Source organism: Homo sapiens, chromosome 1 (assembly GCF_000001405.40).
Source record: "Homo sapiens chromosome 1, GRCh38.p14 Primary Assembly".
NCBI lineage: Eukaryota > Metazoa > Chordata > Mammalia > Primates > Hominidae > Homo > Homo sapiens.
In genome coordinates, this window is record NC_000001.11 from 121,446,081 (window position 1) to 121,468,869 (window position 22,789).

At 34.6% G+C, this 22,789-nt stretch overlaps 1 protein-coding gene across 3 annotated transcripts in view; it reads left to right on the forward strand.

Annotated features, from left to right (window-relative positions):
- Positions 1-17,049, forward strand: part of LINC02798 (long intergenic non-protein coding RNA 2798) — a 67,558-nt gene extending 50,509 nt beyond the window's left edge. For all 3 annotated transcript variants that reach the window (XR_007066532.1, XR_007066534.1, XM_047438024.1), the window contains one exon: positions 13,939-17,049. The gene's annotated coding sequence lies outside the window, so the exon portion shown is untranslated. The remainder of the gene's footprint in view (positions 1-13,938) is intronic.
- The last annotated feature ends 5,740 nt before the right edge of the window (positions 17,050-22,789 follow it).

Consider the following 22,789-nt stretch of genomic DNA (forward strand, 5'->3'; position numbering starts at 1 on the left):
TTCTAATACCAGTGCTGTTGCTCAATAATAGCTGCTTATGTATCAGGTTTAGGTATATTCCTGAAAAGTCATTGTTGTCTATGCCTAGGGTGTCTCCAGCATCTCCTTTCTGAAGAGAGTAGGTAGGCTTTCCCTTTATTCCACTTTTAGCTTTCTGATTCTAAGGTGTGATTGCAATCTTACATCTTACATTTCTGACATCGGGAGAACATGTCTTCATTATTTCACTAACTCAGAAGGGGAAGGTAATAAAATTTTATTTATATTAAGCATCTTTCTACACCAAGCTCAAGGAAAGACTACTTAGAGAAAGATTTAGGGAGCATGAAACGAATGTTATCAGTCAAACTGAACAGACTTACATAGCCTGGGGGTTCTTTCCCCCTCTCATATTTATGATCCTATCCTGATCAAGGACAAAATAATACGTAGATACATTAAGTAGTTCAAGATCATATTTGAATACTTGATCCACTCACTAAATCTTATAGTTTATTACTCAGTGCAGTCCTTCTTCAGTTCTTTATGACTCAATTTCCTGATTTATAAATGTAAACTTCAAGTCCTGATAACTCAGTTAATTTCTTACAGTTTAGTAAAGCTGTCTTCATTATATATCTATTTGATAAAGCTATATGGCCCAAGATGATATTTTAAAATTGTGTATAAAAATATATGTTGTAAAAGCACCACAAATCTGCTCTTCAGAATGCCAGTTAAGTCTTTGCTATTATTTATATTCTGAGACTGGGAGAAAAGGGGAATGGGGAGGGGGTTTGGCAGTTGTTGTTTACACTAATTGACAATATCTGTCTTCACTATAAAGCAGTTAAGAATATTCATCTTTATCTCTACATTCAGAGTAAGTATAAGTATATTGGGAAAGAGGCTGTGTTAAAGAAATGGAAGGACGTAGCATATTTTCTGAGGCAATGAATAGCTTAAGTAAGGATTGTTATTATTATTCGATTAAAGTTTTCAATAGCTATGGATGCTAACATTCCATTTTTGGAACATTGTTATTTTTGGAGATAAATATTTACTTTTCAGAAAGTAATATCTTTAATGTAAAAATACCTGATTACTTTTACAGGACTTAAAATGGGGTGGAATCTCATAGGTAAGGTCAGGTGAAAGAAGAGCTCTTGTTTCTAGAGAAAGGGATTGTTTTAGGATGGAGGTGTCTTAGAGAAATGAATACAAATAGGCATTAAAAGAAAGTTTCCTTTACAAGATTCAAACTATCCCTTACCAACTCCATGAGAAACGGTTACAAATTGTTTGCAGTCCTGCATATACAAGACTGAACTTAAAATAACTTGCACTTAATAGGAAAAAAGGAAAAAAGTGGGTCTTTATTTAACAAGAATTCCAAATAAAATCAAGCACAGAAATCATATTTGAAATTACCACTAGAGGGCAGAAAATAGGGGGAAAGAATATATAATAATAGTGGATTTCAGGAATCTGAATTTTCAAGCCCCTGGAACCTCTGAAGACAACTGTAATAATAACAATAGTTAACATTTATGAGGTGCCTACTATGTGCCAAGCACAGTTGTAGAAATTGTAAATATATAATATTAATTAAATTGATGAATACACACACACACACACACTCACATATTTAATTTCACAACCATCCTATAGATAGGTACTATCAGTATCTCCATTTTGTAGATGAGGAAACTGAGGTTAAATAATTTGTGCAAGGATGTGAAGTAAGTAAATCCCCAGTCTGCACACTTAATTCTTACTTCTTCCCATGGATGAAAATCTCTTTTTTGTGTGTCATATTTTATTACAAAGTGTGTACAATCATCCTCTAACCTGTGAGAGGAAGCAAGTAGTTTCTTCTAGCATGATAAATTTCCTACCTTGCTTTTACTGCATTGTGTGGCAAGCCAGGAATTTTGGGAGCAGTCTCATATACACACCTTGGGAAACAGAAGTCTGAAAATGTATTTTATTGATGCTGCAAACTACCAGCACTATTAAGTTTTATGGACAATCTGAACTAATAAACAGGACCTGTGATGGTATCATTATTAACAATGTTAAGAAGAAGCAGAACTCAGAATGAGAGAGTAGCTGCATTAGCCAAACACTGAAGAGTTAATATCGGAAAGGAGTACTTCTGGTAGGCACTGGAAGACACTCGGTGTAGGGAGAGCAGAGACCCCAGCCTGTCAGCCAGCCACATGGCAGTGTTGGGAGGAGGGAGAAAATTAAACCAGAATGGTTAAGTCTTGATTGTTAAACCAGAGGCCCTCTGTATCCTGCTCCATTTGTAACCTCATCAGCTGTATACAAGCTAGGGCCTGGATTTTAAACCCCCGCCCCTGAGGAGACCAGAGATTGTTCCAGTGTTGTAAAAGAAAGGCAATAAACTAAAACCTAGTCAGCAGAATTAATGGACCACACAGATAAGGATCTAAAATATGCATGGCCACAATTTTCAAGAAGATGCCATCTTATTTTCAAACAAAATTCAGACTTCCTTTTTTTTTTTAAAGAAATTAGCCACTGTATTCAAAAATATACATGGAAGAATAAAGGTCTATGAATAGTTTAGTTACTTTTATTTAAAGAAAAGCAGCCAGGTGTGGTGGCTCACGCCTGTAATCCCAGCACTTTGGAAGGCTGAGGTGGGCGGATTACCTGAGGTCAGGAGTTTGAGACCAGCCTGACTAACATGGTGAAACCCCGTCTCTACTAAAAATACAAAAATTATCTGGGCATAGTGGCACGCACCTGTAATCCCAGCTACTTGGGAGGCTGAGGCAGGAGAATTGCTTGAACCTGGGAGGGGGAGGTTGCAGTGAGTCGAGATTGCACCATTGCACTCCGCCCTGGGTGACAGAGTGAGACTCCATCAAAAAAAAAATAAAAAAGAAAGAAAGAAAAGCAAGGAATGGGGACACATCTTGCTAGACACAATATAAGTACAAAGTCATGATAATAATAATAATGAAACCAGTGTGGTATTCATCACAGATGAAAGAAAGATGACATAACAGAGAGCTCAGAAATAGACACAAACATGCAGTTATAAACATGTGTGTTAATTTGATTTATAATAAAGTTGAACTATAAATGATTTGGGGAAACACAGTTTGGTAGATAGCATCAGAATATTGAAAAAATAAGTTAAGGCCATATGCCACACATTAAATTAGTGAAAAGTAGAATTATTAAGAAGGAAAAAAAATCATGAGAATATAAGTGTTACCTGGAGGTAGTGGAAAATCATGTTGAGTATGACCCTAGGAGGATAAACTATAAAGGAAAGAAGGAAGGAAGGGAGGGAGGGAGGGAGGGAGGGAGGGAGGAAGGAGGGAGAAAAAAAGAAATTATGGATTTGATTACATTACAATTAAAGGTTTATTTTAATGAAGAAATAGAGACAAAGTTAAACAGTTGTTGACTAATTCAGAAAAGATATTTACAATGTATAAAATAAATAAATATTCTAGATTGACATCTAGATTAGGGAAAGAATCCATGAAAATCAACATGGAAAAGACAGAAAATCCAGGGGGGAAGAAGAGGGCAAAGGAAAAAGTTTAAAACACTGACATTCCCAAAATTCAATACAATTTGCGGGGATATCCAGTAAGTCCTCACTTACTGTTGTCGGTAACTTCTTGGAAACTGTGACTTTAGGCAAAATGATGAATATTGGAACCAATTTTACCATAAGCTAATTGATATAAACAGGAGTTAAGTTGCTATTTCTGGCATATTTCTGGACACAAAAACATCACCAAATTTCTAAATAAAGGCCCCAAACACTTCTTATATTAAACATTGAAATAAATGTGAGCTATACATACGTATAAGAAAGATGAATAGAAACAAGTAAAGTAATTATTTACTTAATTTTTGGTGAATCAGTGAGTTACAGCAGTCATAGCGGTCATGGGTTAAATCAAAGAATAAATGTTGCAAAGTGAAAGTTTTAATCAGGACGTCCTACCACTATGCAGCTCAAAAACAATCACAAATATGGCTCCATGAGGGCTTTTGTACCTCACTGTTTATTGTCGAGCATTTGTAGGATTATTGTATAGTTTACTAATTTTTATTTTAAAATAATTTGTATTCATTCATTCATTCATTCATTTATTTTCTAACTTGCATATTCCAATTCAGGGCATGGGTGGCCAGAGTCTATCCTGGCAGGATCCAACCCTGGACAGGATGCTATTCTATCACAGGGCACACTCACATACACACCCACGCCAGCCCATCCTGGAACAACTTCGACATACCAATTAACAGAACATGCACATCTTTGGGACGTGGGAGGAAACTGGAATATCTGGAGAAAATCCATGCAAACATGGAGAGAACATGCAAATTCTGCATGGAGAGTGGTCTTGTGTGGGAATCCATTTGTTTTCTTATTACGGTTATTACAAAGTGACATTGAATTAAATGATGTTGTTCAAGGACTTGCTGTAAATGAATCTAAGAGGTGAGAAAAGTGATGGGTACAGGGATCAGGGATGAAAGGGGAAAGTCAATATCAACCAGCAAAGGGTCTTGATTGTGCTGATGATACTCTTCAGAGTATAACTAACTCAATTTTCTGCAACCAAATTTCAAAAAACTAAGAAAAATACAACAGTTTGAAATGAGGGATACAGAAAGCTCTAGAAGGATAGTTTTGTTTTTATATACAACATTAAATTCACATTGTTATGCTTACAAATACATGGAATGTTACTAATTTATTTTGAAAATCTATTACTGTTCAGGAAGTATTTTGAATAGAAAATCATCTCACGTACTGTAATAAAATACTTCATATTTGGGGCATTGGGCAGAAGGGACCTTGGATTATGAGTAAAAGGCAGGATGTTTTGTTTTGTTTTAGGAGAATTGATAGGTATTCTCACTGCATTTGTAGGTTGCTGCTAGGGGTGCAGGCGACCTGTGATGCAAACATTGGTTGTATATATGCATACAAGTGGGTTGCTCAAAAGATGCTAGGTACCTAAATGTGAAACCAAAAACATGTGAAACCAAAAACATTCCTAAGTAGCCACTATTTTGTATCCTCAATGTTTTTGTCTTTGATGTAGAATGAGTTACTACTAAGCCAATAAAAGTAAATGAGAAATGAAATCATATTTTGGTCAATTATATCATTCAGGAATAATAAACACTACTACAAAATAAAATTAAGATAATTTTTTACCCTCCATCTAGTTTTATAATTCGACAAATTCAGATTGCCTGAGAAATAATAAAATATTTTTAGCCATTGTGCTATTTTCATGATTTTATTAAAATGTAAATTCTCAGAGATCTGAGATATTCTGAATCTTTTATGCAGATTGCTTATGTTTTAAAATTTTCTCATCATCTTTTTTACAAGAATATATGCTTATAAAGAGATGGCACATTTATGCTGTAACAAAATGGAGTTATGGAATATATGGATAGCCCATTTCACAGTTAACTACTTCAATTTTATTTTTTTCAAGGAAACTGTCTCAGTTGTCCATCAATTAATTGATTAATCCAACAAACATTTTTGATCACTTCAACATATGTGGATATGTACTGAGCATTGGAAATTTTAAAAATACACACCATACACACACACACACACACAAATACACTATTCCCTGTTTGTGTAGAGCTTGCATTTAAGACGAGTTTTTAGACTTTAAATGAAAGAAAAAAAATTACCTTTCCATGACATTTTAACTGTTGATCCTCTGCAGTAAGCCAAATAAGCCTATTACATCTTCCACATGTGAACTTTTTAAAAATCTCATGGGTCACCAGAATCTTCCTCATATGACTATTATGAATGCACCCTCAGATCACATTTCATTTCCTCCATGACCTTCTTAAAATGCAATACCCAGCATTGAATGTAGATATTGTCTGCCAAATACAGTGAAATTATTAAATGTGAGAAAACAGGTAGCATACTTTCTTCTAAAGTAGCCTGGTAGGTGAACAACACAGTCAGTTCTTGTACCCATGGGTTCTGCATCTATGGATTTCATCAACCATTGATCAAAAGTATTTTTTAAAAAATGAGTGGTTGCATCAGTATTGAACATATACAGACTTCTTCCATTTGTCACGATTTTCTAAATAATACAACAGTATAGCGAACTATGTAGCATTTGCAATGCATTAGATATTATAACTAATCTAGAGATGATTTAAAGTATATGGGAGAACGTGTGTAGGTTATATGCAAATATTATGCTATTCTTTTTTTATGTTTTTTTCTTTTTCAACTTTTATATTAGAATCAGGGAATACATGTGCAAGTTTATTAAAAACGTGTATTACATGACACTGAGTTTTGGGGTATGACTGAACCCTTCACTAAGGTAATGGGCATAGTATCCAATGGGTAGTTTTTTAGCTCTTACTCCCTTCCCCTCTCCCCATTCTAGTAGTCCTCAGTGTCTGTTTTTCCCATCTTTATGTCAGCATTTATTCAATGTCTAGCCCTGCTTATAAGTTAGAATATGCAGTATTTAGTTTTCTGTTTCTGCATTAGTTTGCTTAAAATAATGGCCTCCAGCTGCAACCATGTTGCAGCAAATGACATGATTTCATTTTTTATGGCTGCATAGTATTCCATGGTGTATATGTACACATTTTCTTTACCAAACTGCTGTTGATAGGCACCTGGGTTGATTCCATGTTTTTGCTATTGTAAATAGTGCTGCAAAGAACATACAGGTGAATGTGTCCTTTGATAGACTAATTTATTTTCCTTTGGGTATATACCCATTAATGAAATTGCTGCGTCAAATGATAGTTAAACTCTTAGGTCTTTGAGAAGTATTCAAACTACTCTCTGTAATGCATAGTGGCTGGGCTAATTTACATCTTCACCAACAGTGTCTGAGTGTCCTTTTTCTCTGTAACCTCACCAACATCAGTTATTTTTTGACTTTTCAACAAAAGCCTTTTGGACAGGTGTGATCTGGTGTCTCATTATGGTTTTGACTTGTATTTCTCCGATAATGAGTTGATTAGCACTTTTTCACATGTTTGTTGGCTGCTTGTATGTTGTCTTTTGAGAAATATCTGTTTATGTCCTTTGTCCAATTTTTAATGGGGTTATTCATCTTTTACTTGTTGATTTCTTTAAGTTTATTATATATTCTGGATATTAGGCTTTTGTTGGATGCATAGATTGCAAGTATATTCTTTCATTCTGCAGGTTGTCTGTTTACTTCCTTACAGTTTCTCTTGCTGTGCAGGAGTGTTTTACTTTAATTAGGTTCCACTAATCAATTTTTGTTTTAGTTGCAATTGCTTTTGAGGACTTAGCCATAAATTATTAGCCATCGCTGATATCAAGAAGGGTATTTCTTTTATTTCTGTTTTCTGATTGCTCTGGCTAGGACTTCCAGTACTATGTTGAATTGGAGTGGTGAGAGTGGACATCTTTGTCTTGTTCCATTTCTCAAAGAGAATGGTTCAGCTTTTGCCCATTCAGTCTGATGTTGGCTGTGGGTTCGTCATAGATGGCTCTTGTTATTTTGAGGTATGTTCCTTTGATGCCTAATTTGTTGAGAGTTTTTAATCATGAAAAGATGTTGGAGTTTATCAAAAGCTTTTTTTGCATTTTTGAGATGATCATATGGTTTTTTATTTTAATTCCGTTTATGGAGTGAATCACATTTATTGATTTGCATATGTTAAACCGATCCTGCATCCCAGGGATAAAGCCTACTTGATTGTGATAAATTAACTTTTTGATGTGCTGCTGAACATGGTTTGCTAGTACTTTGTTGAGGATTTTTGTGTCTATGTTCACCAGTGATATTGGTGTGAAGTTTTCTTTTTTGTTGTTGTTGTGTGTCTGCCAGATTCTGGTATCAGAATGATGCTGGCTTCATAGAATAAGTTAGGGAGGAGTACATCCTCCTTGATTTTTTGCAGTAGTTTCAGTAGAATTAGTACCAGTTCTTTGTATGTCTGGTAGAATTCATTTGTGGATCTATCTGGTCCAAGCCTTTTTTTTTGTTCGTAGGTTTTTTTAAATTACTGATTCAATTTTGGAACTTGTTATTGGTCTGTTCAAGTTTTCACTTTCTTCCTGGTTCAATCTTGGGTGGTTATGCATGTCCAGGAATTTATCCATTTCCTCTAGGTTTTCTAATTTGTGTGCTCAGAGGTGTTCGTAATAATCTCTGAGGATCCTTCGTATTTCTGTGGGATCAGCTGTAATGACATCTTTGTCATTTCTGATTGTGCTTATTTGGATCTTCTTTCTTGTTAATCTAGCTAGTGGTCTATCAATCTTGTTTCATCTATAAAAGAACAGACTTTTGGTTTCATTAATCTTTTGTATAAGTTTTTGCATCTCAATTTCATTCAGTGCTCTGACTTTAGTTAATTTCTTTCTTTTGCTAGCTTTGGGGTTGGCTTATTCTTTTCTTTCTAGTTCCTCTAAGTACACTGTTAAATTGTTAATTTGAGATCTTTCTAACTTCTTGATGTAGGATTTTAGCACTGTAAACTTTCCTCCCAATACTGCTTTAGCTGCATTTCAAAGATCAGCAACAACAAGTGTTAGCAATAAAAGTTGTTGCTTCCTATCTGCTCTTCAGATCTGCCAAATGTCTCCCTTGTGGTCCACCCTAACATACAATTAAGGGAATGCTGGAAAATGTAGTTCAGCACAGTCAAGTAGACACATTAAAGCCTAAATAGTAATGATATACAGTTGTCCCTTGATATTCATTGGGGATCGGTTCCAGGCATATCTTCGTTATACCTTTCTGTAATTATTTATTTACCTATCACTCCCAACAGCAGGACAGTAATATCTTTGATGAAGAAACAAAGCTTAATTCCATTTTGTATTTTCTATGGAATCACAACTCTTGGCACTAAATAGGCATTCAATAATTATTTACTGAATGTACAAGCTTAATTTAGAAGGAAGAAAGGGAATTTAAGAGATGAATGAGATAGCATGATGGTTAATATTAGGTGCCAACGTGATTGGATTGTGGGATGCCTAGATGGCTGGTAAAGTATTGTTTCTCTGTGTGTCTGAGTGTGTTTCCAGAAGAGACTGACATTTCAGTCAGTGGACTGGGAGAGGAAGACTCACACTAAATGTGGGTGGGCACCATCTAATTGGCTGCCGGCCAGCTAGGACAAGGCAGGCAGCTCTCTTTTTTCTTTCCATGCTGGTTGCTTGCTTCTGCTCTTCCTGCCCTTGGACATCATACTCCAATTTCTTTGGTCTTTGGGCTCTGAAACTTGTACCAGCAGCTTCCCCAGGGCTCTCAGGCCTTCTGCCACAGACTGAAGGCTGTACTGTTGGATTCCCGGTTTTGGGGCTTTTGGACTTGGACTGAGCCACTACCAACTTCTCTCTTCTTCAGCTTGCAGAATGCCTATTGTGGGATTTCACTTTGTAATCATGTGAGCCAATTCTTCCTAATAAACTCCCTTTTATATATACATATATCCTATTGGTTCTGTTCCTCTGGAGAACCCTGACAAATTACAGATGGGAAAATGTGTGTTAGGCAGTGGAAGCAAGGAAGGAGCAGGAAAAATTGGGCCAAATTAGAGACAAACTCAGTACTATTAAATTTCCTTTAAGAAATTCATATTACAGATGTATATAAGTAGGCAACTAAACCAATCATATTGGACCTTCAGAAGTTTCAATAAAATGCCATAGAAACATGATAGTGGGAACCTCTCACCCTTGAAATAAATACTTATTTTAAAAGGCCTAAAATGCTGTTGTTGGCCAGTTGTGGGGGCTTATACCTGTAATCCCAGCAATTTGGGAGGGTGAGGCGGGATCGCTTGAGTCCAGGAGTTTGAGACCAACCTGGGCAACATGGCAAACCTCTGTCTCTACAAAAAATAGAAAAAAATAGGCAGGCATGGTGGCGTGTGCCTGTAGTGCCAGCTACTTAGGAGGCTGAGGCAGGAGGATCATTCGAGCCCCGGAGGTCGAGGCTGCAATGAGTTGTGATCACACCACTGTACTCCAGCGTGGGCAACAGAGTAAGACCTTGTCTCAAAAAAGCAAAAACAAAAACATGGAGTTATCTTCTTTGGTATTATATCTGGTTTTGAACAGTTTGGTACAACTTTTATATGAGCTGATAAGTCATATTTTTCATTCAAAAAATTATTCAAATATTTACTTTTGTTCTATTAAGTAAATATTTTTAATACTGATTTATTTATTTTCATTATTTCTCTCTTTTATCTAGTATTAATTTTTTTGTCATATAATATGCCTGGAGGGAGGGAGAAAAACGGGGGAAAGAAGATGGAGGGAAAAAGGGATGAAGGGAAGGAAGGAGGGAAAAATTTTACATTTTCTTCCCAAAGATTCTGATTAAGTAGATCTGAATTAGACTGTACTTACAACTGTGCTTGTAAGACATTTCAAAAATTGATTTTGATGGGCAACAGGTTGGAGAACTGTCAACTAGAGGACATGGTAATGAATTGATGGTCAAATGAACATGCCCAAAACTATAAAAAATACTATCTGTGAGTCTGGTATAAGCCACTAATCTACTATTTGAATATTAGTGACACCTACAGTTGGGATTGCACCAACAAACATCTGTCCTGGTCTGGATCACATTTTACTGCTGTCCTCTGTTTCACCTGTAAATCAAATACCAGTAAATATTCTGACTTGATGGGTGTTCAGCAAACCGCTGTTTTTGAAAAGATGTTGATGTTATAATTTTATAGTTTCTTAATGTCTTTGTCTGCAATTAAAACAATGTGGAGTCACCAAGAGTTTATCAATTTATCAATTATTTTGCTGTTGATCCATTTATTTTCTGTGTTAATCAGATCATAAGCTTATAAATACAATAGTATACATGAGAGAAATGTATCAACAAGGGTTGCTCTTAAAAAAAAAGAATATTGTGAAAACTGGGTAGGTATGGGGTAGTAATGAGGAGAAGGATCTCTTCAAAGGCAATAGAGGTGGCTCAAAATTGGAAGTTAATTTCCATATTCTCACACCCTCGCCTCTGTTCCAACACCAAGATAAAATGCTGCTGGCTGCTTATCTTCACAGATACTGTCAGCTTTTAGAGTTGTGCTATTTGTCACTATTTCTCACATCAAGAATAACCTGGACTATTGCTCTGAATTATTCCATAACAAAATGTAGAAGATAGGAAAAGTCTAAGAAAAACAACTATACAAAATCTGAAGTCACAAAAATTTTCAAAGTCAATACTGACTTGAATACAATGTAGAAGTGTTTAAGAAGAACATTATGTACTCTGAGTCTTGATTTTTAAGCCAAATTATTACAGTTGGTTATAATGTTAAAATTATACCTAGCTCCAGTGGTTACATTTTGAGATGCCTTTATTTTCAGTGGTTTAACATTATTTTCTAGTAAAATATCTTTAAAAATCAACCAATATGAGTGCTTCACTAATATGTAGTTTTCAAACTATTGTGTATTTTTGCTTTGCCTTGTTTGGGCACATAGTTTGATTTAAGAAAGGAGTTGAATTAAGCTCAGGTTTTGATCTTAGCCTGAGAAGGTTAGAGTTCAGATGGAACAGCCACTGTTATTTGAAAGGATTATGTTGCAATTTTAGTACCACTACAGGATTCATATGCAGAAAAGTTCTGATAATTTTGAAGTAGTATACATAGTTTCATATTTTAAAGAGTGATACACACTGAATTGTGTTATTTTGTGAGGAATCTGGACTTTTAGTCAAATATTTCTAATATTTCTAATTTCATTTTTTGTGTATACATATTTATTAAATTGAAAATTTTGTCATATACATGAATTTGAAATTATATATATATGAACATATACATACATATGTATGTGCATTTGTGTATGACTTGAAATGAATTTGTGTATTTTAGGGCAATCTCATGTGCTTTCCATGCCATGAGGGCATTACTGTTCTGTTCTTTGAAATTTTCTGAATATTCTTTTCTGCAGACAAAATGGGATTGAGGAAAATACTCTAGACAAAGTACAATAAAGCATTTTAGAGACTAATTATAATTTAGTCCAGTAAAAGGTAGAAAATAGATAACTACAAATAATCCTAAAACCTGATGTGCAATAGTATGCGATTATCTTAATATAATGTTGATGAAATTCCCCATTAGATGGGAATATAGGGAAAATACAATTTTATATTCCAAATACATTTATATACAATGCAGAATGTAGCAGTATAGCTATTTGATGGATATATGTAATATAGAAAGTTAAATATTATAATTTTGATAACATAGTTTTGCATTTACTTCCCTTAAATTTAGTAGTAGATATATAAAGTGCAGAGCCTACCTAATAGGGAATAATCAGTAATTGCATATATGACACACACATGCTTGAGTGCACACACAGACACACACACACACACACACACCTCCACAGTGTAAGAACCAGGCTGTATTTGCAACCTTGGGAAATTTAAACTTCAGAGAAAAATGTGGCTGTTTCTGTCAAATAAACAATAATTGTGAGTGCAGAGAGGTTAATCCAGTCAGGTACCAATGCTCGTGAAATGGTGTAGAAAGTGAATAGAATAGTGTAAATTATGGAATAAAGCAAATTCCACTAAAGAGCTTATTTAGTAACAGATTATCAAGAGTCCATCTTCTTTTCTGCCTTTCTCTTTCTCTTCCTTTATATATAAAAGATGTTGCCTATCTTCCCATCTATAAAGTTGAGTTGTTTAGAGAAGTGAAACTGAAAGGCAGAAGTCTAGAATTTCCCCAAGGAGTAATAGCTCATTTCAAACTACGCCACTTCAAAGATAAATGACTGTTGAAATAGGAAACATAAGTAGTGTAAGGCCATCAATGGGTAAAATCAGTTATTTGAAATTACTCTAGAAGTTGCAAAACTTTAGCTTCTAAGATGAGATAAGGGTTAATTAAGAATTTTTTTTGCTATTTATTTATGGAGCTATTTCTGGTAATATTTTAAAGTAAAAATGTTTAACTTTTAATATCACATTTTTTACAGTTTCTAAAGTTTTATGAATTCTATAGTTTTATTGTTTCTAAAATTTTATTGTCTTGTTAAATAAAGACCCACTTTTTTCCTTTTTTCCTATTAAGAATTAAACATTAAACATTCTTTAAAGAATGTTTTATTTACTAAAAATAAAGATTCTGTAAAAAACTTATAGATGGCATATATAGTAATCATAAGCAAAAGATAAATTTTAGTTCTGCCAACCTGAGAGAAATTTAAATTAGCCTTTCAAAATGCATTCATTTTCAGTTTTAGAGAAAAAGTTGAATAAGTAAATGGATGTATGTATGCATATGTTTGTGTATGTGTGCCAGTGTGTATACCCAAAGTGTCTGTGTGTTTTAGTGCTCACTCTCAAATATATGACATGAATCATTCAGCGACATATTTAACTCTATACATGAGTAACTTTAATATCTTTCTTTGAAATCTTTTGAATCGTATCTAATAAATATAGAAATTCAATGCATGTTTATTATATATGCATTATAATATTTTAAATATTAATGTTCCAAATAATCTATATTAATAAATGCTGGATGAAATAATGCATCTCTTGGGAATCAACACATGTGAACTATTAGTCATCATCTGTCACTTTCAAATAACGTTTTTCCATTCTCTAAATCAGTGGCTTCCAAAGTGATTTGTATGTATTTCAGGGGATGTTCTAGAATGTTGTTTAGAGTGCAAGAAAAAAAATAGAATTTGCATTTGGATGTATTTTTGTCTAAAAAATACAAAGTAAGTCTTTAGTAGTTAATTTAATATTTAATATGTTCACATTTTCATCTTTATTACTTGAATCCATAAATAATGATTCTTAAATCATTATTATTATTATTATTATTATTATTAGGCACATTGCTACCTGGAATAAGGACTAAATTTATCTTCTTTCCTTGCAGCTAGGTGATGATATTCTGATCTATGAGATGCAAGAAGATGTGATGTGTGGGACATCCATGAAAACTGATTAATGAGACCTGACACAAATTAGAGATCAAGCCCACTACGACCACCACCATTTTTCTCTTCTATCCTATTTTTTTGTGACCTCTAGCATGACCATGATGCCAAGATCTCTAGCAGCCACATAGTGACCTGAGGTAAATCTGAGTATGAAAATCATGTGCCAGGATGGTGTAGAAAGAGGGTTTTGGATCCTATTGACAATGGAAAGTTGGTCTTCCTACCTCTGAACCTCTTTATGTAAGAGAAGTAACCTGAGTTTTAAAAGCCATTATTATTTCCATTTTCTCTGCTGATGCAGACAAACACAAGTCCTAATTTTATAGAGACCTAATACGTTCTGGACCTCAGAAAGAGATTCCTGGAGGAAATGTTGTTTTCAACCACTAACTCTGCTAATTTCAGGCCAAGTGAGGCATTATATAGACAGTCTGACCACTGCCACAGTTGCATACGTTCTAAATTTGAAATAAATCCCTTACTCTGTATCACTTATAGTGGATCTGCTTCTCTGATAAAACCCTCACTAAGACAATTATCATCCACTGTTTGTTTTTCCTGTGGTAAGTATATCATTGCTGTATAAAAATAACCTTTTAATTATTAACTCAGTTGGCCCAGTTTAGCATCTTTTCCATCTTCCATTCTCAATTTGATAATTACCATCTTTCATAATAATTATCCTTCAGGTTTCACAATACATGTATGTTGAATGTTAAGGCTATTCTTCATTGATATTTACACTTTGACTCCATGGTGAGAGAAGCTGCAGTATCTGAGAAATAAATAATTTGTATGTGGGAGGTGTGATTTTACAGCTAGATTATAGCTCAGTTTCTAGTTCTTTCTTTTAGAGAGATTTCTCTTGGTCATCTTTATAGAGGTATGAAGATATTTAGTTTTACTGTTATTATATTAACATTTTAAAAAGCAGCTTTCTACAAGGTATGGCATCAGGTGGAATTATTCTTGCTGTGCTCTCAAATAATCTCCATGCTAAGTTTTTGGGCCTCACTGCAGCCCCTGAACACGTATGTCTCTCTGTACCTCCTCTGTATGATGTAGTGAATTTTTTGGACCTTTGAATCACACACAGGCTTTCTTGGCTGTTTTATACCAAAGGACTTTCACTAAATTCCTAAGAAAAATTTAGCACAGCCGATGCTGTTTTCCAATGCCAACCTTGGAGTTTGCAATTTGCCCAGACAAAAATACCATAGCTGATGGTGATGATGATGTCAATATTTTTTTAAAATACAATTTAAAAAATGGTTCAACATAAATTATCTCATTTAGTCCCCTGAACAACCTTGTGATGTGATTTTGAACAGGAATATCAAGACCTCAGGATCTGGCATCAAATTCTGGGGTTTGAATATTATTTCTATCACAAACTATTTATATTACTGCTTATATGTAAGTGACAACCTTTCTATTCCTTATTTTTTCCACTTGTAAAATCAGAAAAATGACAATGATGAGAGCACCAAACTTATGAGCTTGCGAAGATTAAATGTGTGTATGGGTTTTTATCAGTTTGAGAGACATTATATTTCCATTTGTTGTCATTCTGTCCCTTCCATCAGGGTAGGACCTTTCTTCAGTGCATTACTTTGTCCCCTGAACCTAGAATGGTACCTGGAATATCATTGGTGCCCAATAAGTACTTGCTGAATAAATGACTGAATAAATAAATGTAATCTGTCAATATTTTCATCTGAAGATATGATATCTGTTTTTTACCTTATTTTTTCAATCATCCGAAAGGTAGTATGCACATTTGAAAGGTAGTCATTGTTATTTTCTTACACCAGTACTTGCACTTTTACAATATGTAGCAATAATCATAAGCAAAGTATCATGACAGAGTGAGAATAAACTTAAATCTGTAATTGCAATTTTTCTTCACCGTGGCCTCCATTGTTTGTCATGTGTCTTGGCTACGTCAGGATGGAAAGCATTGCTTTTTTCTATTTACAGGACCAGAATTAAATCCATGTTTCTTGGCTGACCATTTGGTTAGTTTTTGTTTGTTCATTTGTTTTTTCATGAAATGTTCATGGTGGTTGGGCTGGAATAGGTATAGCATTTTATTTATTTATACTCAGCTGAAACTAAGAGAAATATTTCAGACCAAGAAGTGGGGACAAGAGCAATACTTGTGTAATAATACGATGTACCATTTTACATTATTTGGAAGTGCTGATGCCTGCATCTATAGCATCAGTCAAGAAAGAGAGGTAATGAAAGAGATTTCAAATGAATATCAGATAGGCTTTAGTATTACATAGGATAAGACAGACAGGATTGGTCAGGGTATGCTGGAAAAGATTTTTTATCTTATTTTATTGGCTTTATTTAAATTTTTTTTTTTTTCCCAGCTGGAAATCTATTTATTTATTTTTCTTCAGTGTTACAATGAAACAACATTGCTTTATTTAAATTTTATAAAAATTCAAACCATACAGTACTTTATAATAAAATTGACTGCCTTTGGCTACTCTATCTCTATTTCCAGTGCAACTGTGGAAGTGGCACTGACAGATATGGTTTTAGCTACTTAGAAATTTTTCTAGACACACACACACACACACACACACACACACACAATTTATATGCAAAATGCTCATATGCATGTCATATTTTTTCTTTATTCAGCAAGTTATAGTGGATATTCTTTTATAGCATACGTAGCAATGGACTTCTCTTTTTAAAGACTGCCTAGAATTCTGTAGTTATAATACAGTCATTCATGTAACTAATTCTCTAAAAACAAGCCAGATGATATTTACTAAGAACTTACTATGGGTCAGGCACAGCTCTAATAGTCTAATCTCATCTAATCTCAATACGTTCATGAGTTAGGAATGGTTGTTATTCCCATATGTTCCCAATGAGGAAACTGAAGCAGAGAGTTTAAATAATGTGCCCTAATTTACAGAATTATTAAACTGGTACTGGAATTATGCAAAGATAATCAGGCATCAGAGTTTGTGATGTCAACTGTTATGTGATACTGCAATAAACGTTGTATAAACCTCTGTAAACTAGTGTGACATGGTTTGGCTGTGTCCCCACCCAAATCCCATCTTAAATCGTAACTCCTACAATTCCCACCTGTCATGGGAGGAACCTGGTGGTAGGTGATTGAATTATGGGGGTGGGTCTTTCCTGAACTGTTCTCGTGATAATGAATGAGTCTCACGAGATATGATGGTTTTAAAAACAGGAGTTTCTCTGCACAAGCTCTCTCTTTGCCTGCCACCACCCATGTAAGATGTTGACTTGCTCTTTCTTGCCTTCTGCCATGATTGTGAGAACTTCCCACTCCTGTAGAACTGTTAAGTCCATTAAACCTCTTGTTCTTCCTAGTCTCGGGTATGTCTTTATCAGCAGCATGAAAATGGATGAATATATACTGTAACAATTTTTAAACAATAGATGTGGATTGCTGGGTCAGAGATTTGGCATATTTTATATTTTGATAGTTTTTTCCATTTTGTCCTCTAACAAAAGTCAAAACAATGTGAACTTATGCTAATAGAATATGAATGCATTCCTGGCTAGGTGTGGTGGTGGCTCATGCCTGTAATCCCAGCATTTTGGGAGGCTGAAGTGGGTGGATCACTGAAGGTCAGGAATTCGAAACCCTCATGGTGAAACTTAAAAAAAAAAAAAGAATATGAAATATGAAGGCATTCCTTTCTCTAAACTATTGCCAATGTCAGATACATTTGTTCCTAAAATCAGGTCTCTGAAAATTGGTGGATAGTAAAATTAAAGGTTATATCAGAATGATTTCCTTTAAAAAATACAGAAAAAATGCATTCTAATAAGTTGGAAAGAAGTGTTCTCTTGTCATGTTACATGAATCTGAATTGTAAAGGGTTTGTCAAAAACCAAATATATAGGATTTTATTCATTAAAAAAATCATTACTACTAATGCTCAATGGAGCAGATGAGTTTAGTTTATTAGTATTGTCTGCCATTTTCTCCAAGATCCCAATTTTTAAAATTCTTTCATATGATGTCTTGGTTCTACTCAGCAAACTTTCAGACTTTTGTTATTTTTGTTAGTTTGTCATATATTTTTTAGATAGTGCTTTTGCTATAGTAAAACATGCCTTCAATGTGGTAAGATATGTCTTTTAAAAAATTATAGCCAATAAATATCAACTTGACTTCAATGGTTGATCCCCTTTTGCTACTTCTGTACCTGGAAAACTCCTCGAGATGGTAACTAGTGCTTTCCAGTCATGCTTATGCTTAAGAGCAAAAACAAAACAAAATTGAAAGCAATAAAAACAAAAGAATTTCGCTGATGAAATACACAATTTTAATTTTGCAAAGCATCAACTGTGAATGCTTCAACAGCATGGCATTGTGTGAGAGTTTGGAAACATACCAGGGGGTTGAATTTACATTCTTTTTTTTTTTGGGTAATAAGATGTATTTTAATTTGACCACGGGAATGTGGTCAATTATATTTCCAGACTCTAACTAAAAAGCTTGGACTTTAGGTTTAAAGTTTGTTATTCTAAAATGAATGTCTTTATAGTAAAGGAAAAAACATTCATGTCTTCAATGTAGGAATCCAAATATCATAAATTATGCATTAATTTAAAGGCTGGTTTATTGTCAATCTTTTTAACATTTAACAAATCAGTGACAAATGATGTTTAATTTATATATCCCTTATCACTGGTGATACACATCACTTATCATCTATTTATCCATCCATTTATTTATTTTTTATTTATTAACCATATTAATTTTTCTTCCAGGAGATTACTGTTTTTATCCTTTCCTTTTCTCTTTCTTGTTTTTTCCTATTAAAAACTTTGTATTGTTTATGAAAGTCTTAGGAATAGAAGGAAGGACTAATTTCTGAGAACAGAACAAGGTGGGCACAAGAAGCCCCTCTAAAGACAGAACTAAGGCAGGAATCAATGTTATCCTCATGTGTGGCTTGAGAACCAGCCTGGTGGGGAGTGGAGGTGAGAGATTTCAGACATCAAGAAGGTGGTCACCACTCTGCTCCTCCAGGCCTTCTAAGATATGGAAAAGCTGCTGTGACAAAGAAGCCATGCTCTCTCGGACCCGGGCTGCAGCCTTGATATGTCAAGTGGTACAAGGCACTTTGACATGCAGGGTGTGGAGAAACTTCAGTCTTCAGACTTCATCCTGCAAATCAGAGTAGGCCTGATGAGCATTTGACCAGTGCAGTTACACAGAGCCCTATGCTCAGAAAGATGCTGAGTCTGGTTTAACTCTGCTGTTATTATCTGAACATTCTTAACAACTTTTGCTTTAAACTGTGCTTTCTAAGCGGAGTTTAATGGGATAATGGAACATGCACGTGAGCAGAGGAGATACATTCAGGGCACATGTACGCTGTGCTTCCTTGACACTCCACTTGCAGATTGCCTTTGCAATGCGCCATATGCACAGAATTTCAGTGGACCACTAGGCTTGGAAATTCAGTAAGACTTAAAGTAAATAAAAGGTAAGCATTTTATATATGGGGCTGAGTAAGAGGAGGGCGATGAAACAGGACACTGACGGCTTTTAGAGACAGTGCATTCCTTTGAACACAACCTTGCTTCAAATGCAGAAAGAAAGCAGTGGCCTTTCATGACATCTGAATACCCAAAGAAGCCTATTACACCCTTTCTTACTTAAGTTACATTCTTATATTGGCCAAGTACTTACATAAAAAATGATGACACAGAAGGAAAGGGAAAAACAGGACAGCCCATAGTTCCTTTTCCTTTCAGTCTTTTCTTACTTGCCTGTAGCAAAAGGTAGAGAGTGTTGGTAGAATGTGCATGTATCGAAAAGTAAAATAAAAACTGTGCCACTGCTTTGGTGCAAAATTTCTTCTTAATTTGGTAAGAGCAAAATACACATGCATATATGAACTATGAAATATAAATTGTATAATTTCAGTAATTATACATATAAATTAAATGCTCTTATATTCTAAATCTTGTATTACACAATACAAAGATGAATGGTAAAATTCCTTGTAATAATCAAAATTTTTTTCTTAGAATGACATTAGATAGCAAATAAAAGAGACATGACAAAACAACGTGGAGACTGTGGGAGAAAGGTAACAGCTTGATAGTTTAGTACGTTTAGTGGAAATTTTTTTGTGCTTTTTGAATAAGGGGTCCCACGTTTACATTTTGCACTGGGTCCTGCAGATAACGGAGCTGTCTCAGCCCAGTTGATTGATGTCCTGGAGAGGATCCCTCAATGGCAGAGAGCTCGGTGACAAGTTCTAGATGTTGCTGCAGGTGTTTTTGTTTGACCATGTTTCTTGACTCCCTCATTGCGACAAACTTCTCCAGATTCTCTCAGAGCTTTTGAGGCCAACTCATTCACCCTCAGTACCGTTCCCCTGGCCTACCCCAAACTTATGCTGTTGAACTTGTTTCTCCAAGAAAGGACTCAGCATTTCCAAAATGCTTTTCAAAGCATCACCAGGACAATAGAACTCTTTTTTCTTGGCTACGGAGTCCTGCCGAGCCACAAACAGATGGAAAATATAATTCATCCCCTCAAAGATCTGGAAGATACTGAGTCCCACAGCATTTGCTCTGCACCTGGCTCTCCTATGGTCCCGATCATCCAAATGAACTTACAGGTCACTTTTTGGGTGTCTTTGTGCCAGTGATTTTGCTGATGGGTCTATTTGTCCTTTTATTTCTGGTTCACACGGGAGCTCATTATGGTAGTTATAAAATTAGATTTGTGGTGTTTGGAACCTAGCAAAGAGAGCTATGAAATTGCAATAGACTACTTAATTATCCAAATTTTTAAGACTAACCTTAATTCATTTATGTATTGTTCCAACTGCACCCCATCCCACATTTTTTTTTCAAGTGGGTGTTTTATATTTTGTGCTGATTAACCCCTTATAAGTGATACATTGCACCTATTTTCTCCTAATCTGCATTTTGTTGTTACTTTGTGGCATCTTTCATCATGTATAAACTTTCTTTTAAATTTTGTGTAATGAAAACGTTTAGTCTTTTTCTGTATTTATTTATTTAGAGACTGAGTCTCACTCTGTCACCCAGGCTAGAGTGCAATGGTGCGATCTCCACTGTCTGCAACCTCTGCCTCCTGGGTTTAAGCAATTCTCTTGCCTCAGCCTCCCGAGCAGCTGGGATTACAGGTGCCCGCCAACACGCCCAGATATTTTTGTATTTTTAGTAGAGACAGGGTTTCACCATGTTGGCCAGACTGTTCTTGAACTCCTGACCTCAGGGGATCCACCTGCCTCAGCCTCCCAAAGTGCTGGGATTACAGGTGTGAGCCACTGTGCCAGGCCTCTGTATTCTTAAATTTTATGCCTCTGAAGGCTTTTCTATCCCAAAAATAACTTTAAAATTCTTCTATAGCATTTGAACAATGTTGTAGTTTTATCCTTTGAACTCTAATGAATTAGAATTTATTGTCTGATAAATGTATAAGACAAACATCTAAATTTATTTATCAAACTAGATAGATTTTTAAATAAACAGCCACTTAATGGATAATCTAACTCTTTTTAACTGCTTTGAAATATTTTATTTGCTATATGCCAAATTCTTATGTGTATATGTGCCTTCTTTTTCTCTCTAGTCTCTTTCATTAGACTATTTGCCTTTTCCTGTACTTATATCACACTGTTGAAGTTATTATAACTATGTAGTATATTATGATACCTAGTAGGACAAATTCTCCTTCAGTGTTCTTCAAAAATTCCCTGGTTATTGTCTTGATTTACATTTTACAGATATTTTAAAATCAATTTTTATAATAAAATTCTTTTAGAATTTAAATAGAAATTGTATTAAATTTAAAGATTTACTTGGGGAGATTTGGCATCTTTGTAATGTTGAATAGTTTCCATCTTGTAATATCTTTCCATTTTATTGGATCTTAGAAAATTTTAACTTTTCCTTCACAACTTTAGTTAAACAAATTCATAAGTATACCCTTATTTTGTCTTTGTTAGAGGAATTTTAAAATAAGTATTTGTCATTTATTTCTGTAAATTAAAAAGATGTAAATTTATCTTATAACTGGCCACTTTCTTAAATTATTTCATTTATTCCAATAGTTTTTCTACTGATATTCCAGGCTTTTCTATGTAGGAAATCACATAAGTTGCAATTAATGAAGATTTAGGTTTCTTTCTAATATCTTATTTAAGTTCTTATTTGTCAGGACTTCCATGTAATGATCATAGTACTTGATTTTAAACAATAGGATAAGTCAGACTCTGGTTAATTTTGACAAAACATAAAAAGTAGTTCAAAGGAAAACTATTGAACCACATTTGGAAAACAAGTACACTAAGCAGTCAGAACCAAATGCAAAATGAATCCATCTGGTGAACATATTACTGCTATTGCTATTGAACAACAGCTGGCATTCCCAGCACCACAATACTGCCTTTTTGTTCCTTGGGAAGCCATAGTGGCTTCTCTTCTGTCCTTGCTCCATTGCACTATTTCCAATTCAAGGTTGTGTTTGAATATCTGACTGGCTAAGCCCAGGTCGTATGCACATGCCAAAGTGGCAAGGGAAATTGGGAAAAGTGTGTTTTTCCACAATTCAGAGTTCTTCTATTTGTGGGAAATTTTCCAAATCATAGGATCAAGGTTTACATGTTGAGTAGAAAAAAAAATTAACAAGAATATTTCATACCCTTTAAAATATATTGAACAGTAACAGTATGATTCATTTTGTATCTTACTTTCATTGGAATTTCTCTTGTATTTTACCCT